This window comes from Homo sapiens, chromosome 8 (assembly GCF_000001405.40).
Source record: "Homo sapiens chromosome 8, GRCh38.p14 Primary Assembly".
Lineage (NCBI taxonomy): Eukaryota > Metazoa > Chordata > Mammalia > Primates > Hominidae > Homo > Homo sapiens.
The window spans coordinates 76,466,761-76,480,800 of NC_000008.11; the positions used below are offsets into that span (position 1 = coordinate 76,466,761).

The following is a 14,040-nucleotide window of genomic DNA, read 5'->3' on the forward strand; positions in this document are numbered from 1 at the left end:
TAAGAATAATTTATATTATCATGAATACATTATTTTACTTTCTTTTTGGAGGGAGTAGAAAAGGATTCTCTTTAAGATTTTACTGACATTGCATTAAATCTATACAGCAGTTTGGGTAAAACTGTTATTTTTAAAATATTGAATTTTCTGATCAGTGTACATACAATCACTCTCCATTGATTTAGATTTTCCTTAATTTTCTTTTGCAATATTTGGTAGTTTAAGGAAAAAGTTATGCAGTTTTTTCATTAATTTTTTTAACTTTTATTTCAGGTTCAAGGGAACATGTGCAGGTTTGTTATATAGGTAAATTGCATGGCACAGGGGTTTGGTATACAGGTTAATAAGCATAGTACCCAATAGATAGTTTTTCAATCCTCTTCCTCCTCCCTTCCTTTACCCTCTAGTAGGTGCTCATGTCTGTTGCTCATACCTTTGTGTCCATATGTACTCAATGTTTAGCTCTCACTTACAAGTGAGAACATGTGGTATTTGGTTTTCCATTCCTGTATTAGTTTGCTTAGGTTAATGGCCTCCAGCTCCATCAAAGTTGCTGCAAAGGACATGATCTCATTCTTTTTTATGGCTGTGTAGTATTCCATGGTGTATATGTAGTAAATTTTTTAAATCCAGCCTACCATTGATAGGCATTTAGGTTGACTCCATGTCATTCCTATTGTGAATAATACTGTGATTAACATACATGTGCGTGTGTCTTTACAGTAGACTATTCCTTTAAGTATATATCCAATAATAGGATTACTGGGTTGAATAATTTTTGCTTTGAGTTTTTTGAGATATTGCCAAACTACTTTCCATAATAACTAAACTAATTTACATTTCCACCAGCAGTGTATAAGCATCCCTCTTTCTCCACAAACTTACTAAAATCTGTTACTTTTTGACTTTTTAATAATAGCAATTTGACTAGTGTGAGATGGTGTCTCATTGTTGTTTGATTTGCATTTCTCCAAGGAATAGTGATGCTGAGGATTTTTTCATATGCTTGTTGGCCACACATATGTCTTATTTTGAAGTGTCTCTTCATGTATTTGCCCACTTTTTAGTGGGGTTGGTTTTTGCTTGGACATTTGTTTATGTTTTTTATAGATTCTAGATGTTAGACCTTTGTTGGATTCATAGTTTGCAAGTATTTTCTCCCATTCTGTAGGTTGTCTGTTTATTATGTTGGCAGTTTATTTTGCTGTGCAGAAGCTCTTTAGTTCAATTAGGTCCGAATTGTCAATTTTTGTTTTTGTTGTGTTTTTTTTTTTTTTGAAAACTTAGTCATAAATTCTTTGCCCAGGACAATGTCTAGAAGAGTATTTCTTAGGTTTTCCTCCAGGATTTTTATAATTTGAAGTCTTACATTTAAGTCTTTAATCCACCTTAAGTTAATTTTTATATATGATGAGAGTCCTTTCCCTATTGCTGTCAACAAATTCAACTTTGTTGAAGATCAGATGGTTGTAAATATGCGGTATTATTTGTGGGCTCTTTACCCTGTTGAATTGGTCTATGTGTGTGTTTTTATATGAGTACCATGCTGTTTTGGTAGCCTTGTAGTATAGTTTGAAGTTGAATAATGTCATGCCTTCAGCTTTGTCTTTATTTCTTAGGATTGCCTTAGCTATTTGGTCTCTTTTTTCATTCCCTAAGAGTCTTAAAATAGTTTTTGTTTTTGTTTTTTTTTTTTGCTAATTCTGTGAAGAATATCATTGGTAGTTTGATAAGAATAGCATTGCATCTGCAAATTGCTTTGGGTAACATGGCCATTTTAAAATATTGATTCTTCTTATCCGTGAGCATGGAATGTTTTTCCATGTGTTTGTGTCATCTTTCATTTCTTTCAGCAGTGTTTTGCAATTCTTCTTGTAGAGATCTTTCACTTCCCTGGTAAGTTGTATTTCTAGGTACTTAATCTTTTCATGTCTATTGTGCATGGGATGATGTTCTTGATTTGGTGCTCAGCTTGCATGTTGTTGGTGCATAGAAATGCTACTCATTTTCATACATTGATTTTGCTTCCTGAAACTTACTAAAGGTGGTTATTAAATCAAGCATCTTTTGGGCTGAGACTATTGGGTTTTTTAGATAGAATCAGGGAGTCAAACTATCCCTGTTTACAAATAATATGATTCAGGGATAGTTTGACTCTCTGATTCTATCTGAAAAAGCCCACAGATTTTATGTAAAAAACCATGCAAGCTGTTCCTGTTGGCAGATGATATGATTTATAAATAAAATATTTTAAAATAAATATTTCTAAAATATTTATAAATAAAATCATATCATCTGCAAACAAGAAGAGTTTGAAACACTCTCTTCCAATTTGGATGCTTTTTATTCCTTTCTCTTTCCTGATTGCTCTGGTCAGGAATGCCAGTACCATGTTCAATAGGAGTGGGAGAGGGCATCCTTGTCTTGTTCCAGTTGCCAAGGGGAATGCTTTCAGCTTTTGCCCTTTCAGTATTATGTTGGCTGTAGGTTTTTCATAGATAGCTCTTATTATTTTGAAGTACGTTCCTTCAGTGCCTAGTTTATTGAGAGTTTTTAACATGAAGGGATGTTGAACTTTTTCAAAAGCCTTTTCTGCTTCTATTGAGATGATCACGTGCTTTTTATTTTTAGCTCGTTTATGTGATGAATCATATTCATTAATTTGTGTATGTTGAACCAACCTTGCATCCTAGGGATAAATTCTACTTGATTATGGTGGATAAGTTTTTTGATATGCTGCTGGATTCGGTTTGCCAGTATTTTATTGGGGATTTTTGCATCGATGTTCATCAAAGTTATTCCTCTGATGCTTTCTCTTTTTGTTGTGTCTCTGCCAGGTTTTGATTTCCCCTTAATTTCATTATTTACTCAGCAGTTATTCAGGAGTAGGTTGTTTAATTAATGTGGAATTGTATGAATTGCGGAATTTTCTTAATATTGATTTCTATTTTTATTGTACTGTGGTCCTAGAATGTGTTTCTTATGTTTTCAGTTTTGTTTTGTTTTGTTTTTTCAATTTGCTGAGGATCTTTTTGTGGCTGATTGTGTGGTCGATTTTAGAGCATGTGTTATGTGCGGATAAGAAGAATATATATTTTGTTTTGGGGTGGAGCATTCTATAGATGTCTGTTAGGTCCATTTGGTCCAGTGTCAAGTTTAGGTCCTGAGTATCTTTGTTAGTTTTCTGCCTCCGTGATCTGTCTAACATGGTCAGTGGGGTGTTGAAGTATCCTACCATTATTGTGTGGTTATCTAAGTCTCTTTGTAAGTCTCTAAGAGCTTTCTTTATGAATTTGAGTGCTTCTCTGTTGGGTGCATATATATTTAGGATAGTTAGGTCTTCTTATTGAATTGATCTCTTGACCATTATGTAATTCCCTTCTTTGTCTTTTTTGATCTTTGTCACTTAAAAGTCTGTTTTGTCTGAAATTAGAATACCAACTCCTGCTTTTTTTCTGTTTTCCATTCATTTGACAGATTTTTCTCCACTCCTTTAATTTGAGCCTATGAGGTCACTGCATGTGAGACAGGTCTCTTGAAGACCACACATACTGTTAGGTCTTGCTTCTTTATCCAATTTGCCATTTATTTAATTGAAGCACTTAGCTCATTTACATTCAAGGATAGTATTATTATGTTTGGATTTGATCCTGTGAATCATGTTTTTAGTTGGTTATTATACAGATGTTTTTGTGTGATTGGCATGTAGTGTCACTGGTTTATATATGTAAATATGTTTTTGTAGTGGCTGGTAATAGTCTCTCCTTTCCATATTTAGCACTCCCTTCAGGACCTCTTGTAAGGCAGGTCTGGTGGTAAAGAATTCCCTTAGCATTTGCTTATCTACAAAGGTTCTTATTTCTCTTTCACTTATGAAGCTTAGTTTGGCTGAATATAAAATTCTTGGTTGGAATTTCCTTTCTGTGGTAATGCTGATTATTTATAGACCTCCAGTCTATTATGGCTTGTAGTGTTTCTGCTTAGAGGTTCACTGTTAGCCTGATGAGGGTTCCCTTTGTAGGTTACCTGCCCCTTCTCTCTTGCTGCTTTCAACATTTTCTTTCATTTTGACCTTGGAAACCTGATAGCTATCTGTCTTGGAGGTTATCTTCTTGTGTAGTATTTTGCTGGGGTTGTCTAAATTTCTTGAATTTAAATGTTGGCCTCTCTAGTGAGGTTTGGGAAGTTTTCATGAATGATGTCGTGAAATGTTTTCCAAGTTGCTTGCTTTCTCTCTTTCTCTTATAGGGGCCCCAGTGAGTCATAGATTTGGTCTCTCTACATAATTCCACATTTCTCAGGTTTTGTTCATACTTCTTTATTACTTTTTATGTATTTTTATCTGACTGAGTTATTTTAGTGAACTTGTTTTCAAATTCTGAGATTGTTTCCTCAATTTGGACGAGTCTCCTGTTAATACTTGCAATTGTATTCTGAAATTCTTGAAGTGATTTTTTCAGCTCTATCAGATAAGTTTTTTTTTCTTAAAATGGCCATTTTGTCTTTCATCTCTTGTATTATTTTACGTATTTCTTAGAATTGTTGAATTGGGTTTCAACTTTCTCCTGAATTTTTTTTTTTTTTTTTTTTTTTTTTTTTTTTTTTATGATGGAGTCTCGCTTTGTCGCCCAGGCTGGAGTGCAGTGGTGCAATATCAGCTCACTGCATGCTATGCCTCCCGGGTTCATGCCATTCTCCTGCCTCAGCTTCCCGAGTAGCTGGGACTACAGGCACCCACCACCACACTCGGCTAATTTTTTGTATTTTTTTTAGTAGAGACAGGGTTTCACTGTGTCAGCCAGGATGGTCTCGATCTCCTGACCTTGTGATCCGCCCGCCTTGGCCTCCCAAAGTGCTGGGATTACAGGCGTGAGCCACCACGCCCAGCCAACTTTCTCCTGAATCTTGATAATGGTTTCAGTCTACATTCTGAATTTTACTTCTGTCATTTCAGCCATTTCAGCCTGGTTAAGAATCATTGCTAGGGAACTAGTGTGGTAATTTGGAGGTAAGATGACACTCTGCTTTTTGAGCTTCCTGAGTTGTTGTGCTGGTTCCTTCTCATCTTTGTGGGCTGATTTTCTTCAATTTTTGAAGTTGCTGTCCTTTGGATGGGATTTTTTTGCTTTTATTTTCATATCCTTTGTGAGTTGATTGTGGTATAAGGTAAGTTTAGTTAACTGGCTTCATTTCAGTAATATTTTAGAGGGCCAAGGCTCAGCTCAGCACTCTGGGCTACATGTTCTCACTCTGTGGGGCTGGTGGGCCCTTTGCCTTGTTCTCTGTTCCTGTGAGGTTAGGATCCTGCTGCACTGGAGAGGTCGAGGTGTTCCCAGACTGCTGGCCACAACACTTCAATGGGTGGTACCAGCCAAAGCACTTCTTTGAGTGGTAGCAGCAGGATCCAAGCTCATTCACAAATGCCAGCAGCAGCAGCAGTAGCATGCAGGGTACATGCTCATGAGATCGGGCAGGGCATGGGCACAGGGCTACCAGCCTCTGTGCAGGCTTTGGCTATGGGAGCAGTGGTAGCATGGTGTGGGGTGGAACCACTAGCATCTGTGTGCACATTTGCACTGGCAACAGTCTTGGTGTGGGGACAGGGCACTGGTAAGTGCGGGGCTGACAGCCTCTGTGCACGGGTTTGTTCTGGCAGCAATGACAATGCACGGCCACTGGCCTTTGTGCATGCATTTGCACCAGCAACAATGGTGGTGCAGGACAGGGGAGTGGACCCACTAGTCTCCATGTGCATGTTTGCACCAGCAATGTTGGCATGGTGAAGGAGAGAGCAGGGTGTGCTTATACCATCAGCAGTGACACAGTGGGTGCACACACACACAGGAATCTGTTGGGGAGGAGAGGCGAGGTCCACTTGTGCACACATACACCAGCAAAGCAATGGGGGCCATGGATGAGTGTGTGCCAGCGAAGAGGCATGAGAGAGGCTGCTGTGGGAGGAGGGTGTGAGTGGGCTGGTGCATACTGGTGGAGCTCTCCAATGGTCAGGTGCATTCTGCCAGTGCAGCAGCTCTCATGCAGGTCCCCAGGAGTCACCCCAGTTGGGCATCCAAGGCTGCACTGCAAGCAGGCACAGGCAAGCTAGGACCCTGGGAGAGACCAACAGACAAGGAGGTGCTCAGGTTGGACTGGTCCCATCTCACTGGCAAGAAGGCCTTGCTATCTTCAGGTCCAATGATCACCCTAAGGTTAAAAATCTCCTAGGGGAGCATGGTAAGCCTTGAGGGATGGGTATCCCTGGCCATGCTCCACTGCAGATGTTCTCACATCAAACCCTCTGGACTCTGCACAGGTTGGAGTCTGGCCCCTACCACCTCTCTAAGCAGCTCTCCCTGCCAGCTCAAGTGTCCAGAGGGATTGTGGGGTCTCCTGCTGCCAGGATTCCAGGGGTTCATGGTGAGAACAGGTTTCTCCTTGCCTGCTCAAGTCACCCCTTCCCCAAGAGTCCTTGGGGGCCAGGAATGAGTGTGCAGTAGCCCCGTGCAGGGTTCCCAGTTTTCTCCCCCTTCAGTCCAGTGCCTATATCCTCCCTCTGTCCACTCTCAATACCTTCCATTTGAAGACCTACTTGGAGTGCACCAGTCTTCCTGATGACCCTGTCCCTCAGTGGCTGGGTCTAGTCCACCATCTTGCCTCTGTTCCCATATTTTCTTTAAAGACATAAGAAAATTCTTCCCAATCAAATATAAAAAGTCTATTCTAAGTTGAATATGAAAGAATATATATACTACCAGTGGTAAAAGATATTGTTGACTTTTAACCAAAAACTCATAAATCAAAATGCAATTGGCCCTTAAAGAACACAGGTTTGGACTACATGGGTTTACGTATATATAATTTTCCTCCATCTATGCCACCTCTGAGACAGCAAGAACCCCTCCTTTTCCTCCTTCTCCAAAGCTTAATTAACATGAAGATTGTGAGGATGAAGACCTTTAGGATGATCCACTTTCACTTAATGAAATATAAGTAAATATATTTTCACTTTCTTTCAATTTTCTTAATATCATTTTATCTAGCTTACTTCATTGTAAGAATACAGCATATAATTCATATAACATACAAAATATATGTTAACTGTTTATGTTATCGGTAAGAATTTCAGTCAACAATAGCCTGTTAGAAGTCAAGTTCAAGGGTTAATTGTAACCACAATAATAACAAAAGCAATTTGTTCAGTTTTTAAGATATTCCAGATTTCATCTTCTTAAGAACCTTATGAGGAACGTAATACTGTACAAATATCTCCATTATACAAGTGAGTGAACTAAAGTTTAAAGAAGTTAATGTAGGGGAGTAAAAAATGGCTTCCTTCAACTCTTCTAGGTTCCTTGTCTGGAATATGAATTAAATTGATATAAGACATAAGATTAACAGGAGGAAAATATATTTAGTGATGCACACATGCATGGGAGTTCCACAAAATGAGACTTGAAGAAGGATCAGGTGACTAAAGTTTCTATAGCGTCCTGGGCTGCAGAAAGGAATAGGGACTTGGGGCTTCTGGGAGGTGGTGGCACAAGTCATGGGAGGCTGAGGGGAGGAGTCCTGGTGAATAAATGTCTTGTTATGCATATAAAAGTCTCTCAGGTAATGGAAGCTATCAGGATCAGTGCTCGGTGAATAAGGGTGGGGGATGGTATAGGAAAGTGAATCCCAGGAGGAAAAAAAAGGTTCTAAAGCAGCCCAGTGCCCCCTAAATGCCCACCCTTTTGTTCTTAGTCCTCAGTGCAACCTCTGTTGTAGTTAACACCTAAAGCATACATGCCCTGGAGCTTGCCTTCAAGTTGTCCTTGTGAAGGTGAAGATGGCTGGTTCACTGCTCTAATTGAACTAGGCTACAGTTTCATAATCTGTCTATACCTCTCCATTGGTACTAATTAATTTATTCAGAATTCTATTTATGAATTGATGCATGCATTTATTGAGCATCTTCTTAGTAGTAAGGGTCAAAGGCAAAGTCTGTGGGCTCATTATGTAGGTAGATGGACAGTCACGTAAACCACATAATATAGTGGGACAGTACAAGAACAAGATATGTAACAAGAAGCAACAGTAAGGAAAAAAACAATGAACTGGGAAGTGTTGGGGTGGAGAGTCTGGGGAAATTTTTACTGAGGTGTTAGAAACCTTTGAGTTGAGTGTTCAAGATAAACCTAATGTTAACCCAATCTCTGCAGTGCTGCCTGACCCCTATAAACCTCCCAAACTCCGCAATGTTCGGCTAGCCTATAGCATACTAAAATGTGAGTGTTTGCTTAAAAAGCAAAACTAAGAAATGAATGAATTGGGTTTATGTTTATTTTTGTGGGGACAGTTGCAGCTTTTTACAAAAATGAAGTAAGTGCAGCAGGAATGAGTATTTGGGGTAGATCATGGAGATAATGGAAAACATTTTACCCTTCACCCTCTCCCTCTAAAATGTCTGTAGCAGATGCTGTTTAGCAGCAACCTGATAATTAATATTAACCAGAGTAGTTACTTTTTCTTAACACGGACACCTGATTCACTGTTCTGCTACCATTTAGCAGCAGACTGATAATTAATATTAACCAGAGTGGCTACTTTTTCTTAACACAGACACCTGACTCAGTGTTCTGCATATATTAATAATTCTTCAGAATAGGTACTAGTCACCCCATTTTTAGATGTAGTTAAGGACATTTTAATTCAGGGACTTGTCTAGGTCACAGTAAGTCCCTGAGCAAGGATTGATTGGGCCTAACTTCTGTTTCTTGTGCACGTGGAGAGGAATCTCCATATTCCTAGCTGTAGCAGCTGCCAACAATGAAATGTGCACTTTCCCTCCACAAGTACACAAGAAAACCAGAGCCAATGCCATTGAGTTTTGATAAATGTATACTATCTCAGACCAAATATTGCAAAATGCCCTCATTTAAATTAAAAACATGGAACTAATGTCATGTTTTAGCAAGATATTTAGATCTGTTCCCTCTCCCTCCTTGCAATAAAATGAGGGCTGTCATTTATTGCCGTTGACAAAATACTTATCTTTCATTAGCAAATAAATAATAAACTGAACCCCTTAGACATGACTTCACATCATAGACATGGTATCTTTGTCTACAAAATTTCTACATAAAAAGTAGTGAAGTGGGACTCCTTTCCTAAAGGCAAACTAACAACTATTGGTTCATCCACAGTTCCATCAAAGGAGGGATCTTCCTACTGACCAGAAGACCTGAACAGCCTGAGAATGATTCCTTTCAACTCCGAGAGAAGAAGCTGCAGATGAAGAGCAAGTAGGATGGTGAAGTGCTTAATCAGTGGCCAGGCAATCAATAAACACAACAGGTCAAATTAGTTGAATTGAATTAAATTGACCTTATGTCTTTGGAGAAAATCCTAAAGACAGACAGAAAGAGAGCAGGCTGGCCAGGCACAGTGGCTCATGTCTGTAATGCCAGCACTTTGGGAGGCCGAGGTGGGTGGATCATCTGCGGTCAAGAGTTTGAGAACAGCCTGGCCAACATGGTGAAACCCTGTCTATACTAAATACACAAAAATTAGCCAGGCATAGTGGTGGGTGTCTGCAATCCCAGCTACTTGGGAGGCTGAGGCAGGAGAATTGCTTGAACTCAGGAGGTGGAGGCTGCAGTGAGCAGCCTGGGCAGCAGAGTGAGACTCCGTCTCAAAAAGAAAAAGAAAAAAGAGAGAGAGAGAAAAAACAGGCTAGGGTTGCATGGGCTTGTAATAGCAAAGGAAATCCAGGAGTTAAGAAATTTTAGATGATAGCCTATTAAAGACCAGTTAGAGATGTATGCATCTTCAATGTGAGGAGGCTTCAACAGAAAGAAAAAACAGTATTGTCTGTACATATATAGTGTTTGCATATACAGAGAATTGTCTGTGCCCTTTTCCTTTTCACTCTGTTTCCCTGTCTGTTGGTTATTTTTCTCAGCCAGTAAACTTAATCAAGTTTTCTTTTACTATCAAGCTCCCATTCAATTTTATTCTCCTCCTTTCTCAAACTTTCTTACTTCTTGTTCTCTGCTCAATGTATACTTTCTCATTGCTCTGCTGAACTTACACTATTGACTCCTTAATTGCTTAATTCTCTAATTGTAGAAATAAGAATCTTGATCCACAAACTCAGATGTACAAGAAATATATCAAAATTTAATTTAATACATTGATTCTTTAAATCAACCTAATTCTAGTTATAAGCCATATCTTACTCAGCTCTTAAGATAATCAATCCCCATCTTGCAAGATCCTCCAGGACCTTGCGTTGAAGAGACCTTTAAAGTCTTCTGTGACACTAGTTAGAGACAAGCAATTTCATGTTCAAGCTGACATGGAGATTTTTAGCGCAGATTTGCTGATGCTTTGAAATCATTTACTCCTGGGACCAAGACATCATTTTTGAGAATAAGAATCCTGTACCTAGGGTTCAGCATCTCTGAGTTCATTCATTCTAAAGTGTAGGATTTCCACAGGACACCAAACAAGGCAGGGAGCAGGGTGTGTCTACTGAGGGACTCACCCACTTTCCCCTTTTATGAATATGGTGGACATGTTCTCATTGTCTCCTTGTCCTCAAAAGACTTCCTCACTTTTGCTCTTATCTATGGTATCTACCGTGATCTAGGCTTTCAAAAAAAAAAAAAAAAAAAAAAACTTGCTAAGACTAGGAACGATACATAGCATTGGCATGTAGAAAAAGGAAGAAAGAATTCTATAAGAATAAAACATTGGCTAATCCCACCATAAGTCATCCTACCACACAACCTATTGAGCACTTTCTTTTTGGTCCAGGTAAACTTGACCTAATTTTTCTGGTCACCCAAAGTCCACAGTTTACATTAGAGTCACTCTAGGTGTTGTACATTCTATGAGTTTGGATAAATTCTTAAAGACATACATTCATCATTGTAGTATAATACAGAGTAGTTTCACTGTCTAAAAATCCTCTATTCCCCACCTATTTCTTCCTCTTTTCCTTCTAATCCCTAGAAACCACTGGTACTTTTTATGATCTTCCTAGTTTTGCCTTTTACAGAATGTCAAGTAGCTGAAATTATACAGTAGATAGCTCTTAAAAAGTGGCGCCTTTTACCTAGAAACATGCATTTAAATTTCCTGCATGTCTTTTCATGGCTTCATAGCTCATTTCTTTTTAGTGCTTAATAATATTCTGTTGTCTGAAATCAACTGTTTACAGTTGATCTATCCATTTGCCTACTAAAAAACATTTTGGTTGCTTTCAAGTTTTGAAAATTTTGACTAAAGCTGCTATATACAACTATGTGCAGGATTTTGTGTGGACATAAGTTTTCAACTTATTTGGGTAAATACCAGGGAGTGCCATTGCTGGATTGTATGAAAATAACATATTTAGTTTTGTCAGAAATTGTCAAACTGTCTTCCAAAGTGGCTATAACATTTCACATTCCCACTAGAAATGAATGAGATTTCCTGTTGCTCCATATCTTCACCAACATACATTATTGCCGGTGTTTTGAGTTTTAACTATTCTAATAGGTATGTAGTGATATCTCATTATTGTTTTAGTTTGCATTTCCTGATGACATATGATGTGGAGCATCTTCTTACATGTTTACATAACTTTCATATATATATATTCAGAGTTGTCTGTTAAAGTCTTTGGCCCTGGACCTAATTTTGATGTTGAATACGATAGAGCACTCTTTTTTTTTTTTTTTAAAGGACTTCGGCCTTTTGGCTTCAATAGAAGGGCATTCTCCTGGTATCCCCTAGCTATTCTGACATTTTCTTCTCTGTCTCATTTATATTAAATACTTCCCACTGACTCCTTGACTTTTGGTTTTCTCAAGGTTCCCTTCACAGCTTTCCCTGGGAGCACTCACCCACAATTATGGTTTCAACTACCGTTATCTCAATCCCTATATTATCTAACTCAGTAAGTTTTATGCAAATGCTCAAGTTGGAAACACAAGAAATATTTTTGACATCTTTGTCTTCTTCACCCTCACTCCCAAACCTATTTATCAGAATATCTTGCTAACTTTCCAGCTCAATCAGTATGCAAATGACTCTATCTCACTTTCATAATGTACATTTCCATCGAGAACATTCAACTCTATTACATAAGCATCAAATATAAATCATAGGCAAAATGTTTAATATGTTTCAAGTACAAATATGAAGCCAGTAAGCTAAAGCTGGTAAGGCATGGGCAGAATTCATTCAATATGTTAAGGGTAAGTTAAGTATACAACATATAAAGCATAAGAGAAGTAATTAGCAAGTCAAGTACATATGTATTAAACATAGAGAGGAATGGCAGGACCACAAGATACTGAATATTCCTCAGGCACTTGAGACTAAGCCTGAAAGAGGCACTAAAATATTCAAAATGTGCTAAATATACATAATACCTAATAGTCATGAGATCTTAATTTAGTCACCTATTGATTAAAACCATTCTGATGCATGTGACCATCAACCAAGGAACACATATGAAATTCCTGAATGTTCATCAAACTAATTGGCAAACTGCAACTAACTGCACATACTTATCTTTCAGTATCTTTGATAGAGGTAGTGTCTGCTATTGATTCAGGGCACCTTCTGTCCATGGTTCACCATCAGCAAGGGAGACTGATGTGGAAGAATGAGAGAGAAAGAGGAAGAGAGAGAGAGAGAGAGAGAGAGAAGATATAAAAATATTGAATACCCCAAAAATTCAATTGTGTGCTTCTTTACTCAACTTTCTCCCTATTCTAAATGTGTTATTTTATTGTATCACTTTCCCCATAGTTCTTCTTTTTTTTTTTATCTTTTCTTAAAATACCTTTATTTCCTTTTCAAGCCCGAAAAATGGTTTTGCCAGATATAGGGTATATATTGCTGGGCAATAGGATTTGGAAGATGGTGAAAATATATTTCACTCATCACTTGAAATATATTGTGCCATTTCCATCTGGCCTGCATGGTTTCTTTATTTTTTATTTTTTATTTTATTACTATTATACTTTAAGTTTTAGGGTACATGTGCACAATGTGCAGGTTAGTTACATATGTATACATGTGCCATGCTGGTGTGCTGCACCCATTAACTCGTCATTTAGCACTAGGTATATCTCCTAATGCTATCCCTCCCCACTCCTCCCATCCCACAACAGTCCCCAGAGTGTGATGTTCCCCTTCCTGTGTCCATGTGTTCTCATTGTTCAATTCCCACCTATGAGTGAGAATATGCGGTGTTTGGTTTTTTGTTCTTGCGATAGTTTACTGAGTATGATAATTTCCAATTTCATCCATGTCCCTACAAAGGACATGAACTCATCATTTTTTATGGCTGCATAGTATTCCGTGGTGTATATGTGCCACATTTTCTTAATCCAGTCTATCATTGTTGGACATTTGGGTTGGTTCCAAGTCTTTGCTATTGTGAATAGTGCCGCAAAAAATTAATGAATCCAGGAGCGGTTTTTTGAAAGGATCAACAAAATTGATAGACCGCTAGCAAGACTAATAAAGAATAAAAGAGAGAAGAATCAAATAGACGCAATAAAAAATGATAAAGGGGATATCACCACTGATCCCACAGAAATACAAACTACCATCAGAGAATACTACAAACACCTCTACGCAAATAAACTAGAAAATCTGGAAGAAATGGATAAATTCCTCGACACATACACCCTCCCAAGACTAAACCAGGAAGAAGTTGAATCTCTGAACAGACCAATAACAGGCTCTGTAATTGTCTTCTTGTGTGGTTTAAAATGGACTTAATGAAGTGGTGATTCAGTTTCCACTGTGAGTCTTTCTATTCCATAACCTCTGGGACAGCTTACTTGTTGGTGTGCTTGGAGGTGATCGTTGCATCATTTTTTTTTTACTTAACACCATCTTGTATCAATATCCTAGAGCCTCTCTCATCACTCTTCACTTTAGCCTTCCAGCTCACCTCCGTTACCTCCAATACTATCTGCCCCCATTGATCAGTCAAATGATAGCCAGACTGATCTTCTTAAGATACACTTTGACCATGTTCATTCCAAACAC

The 14,040-nt window shown here is 38.3% G+C and overlaps 1 long non-coding RNA gene across 1 annotated transcript in view; it reads left to right on the forward strand.

The window, feature by feature from the left end:
* The window catches only part of LINC01111 (long intergenic non-protein coding RNA 1111), a 117,703-nt gene that overhangs the window by 60,107 nt on the left and 43,556 nt on the right, over positions 1 to 14,040 (forward strand). The window contains exon 3 of the long non-coding RNA NR_105006.1: positions 9,186 to 9,284. This is a non-coding gene — a long non-coding RNA (long intergenic non-protein coding RNA 1111). The remainder of the gene's footprint in view (positions 1 to 9,185; positions 9,285 to 14,040) is intronic.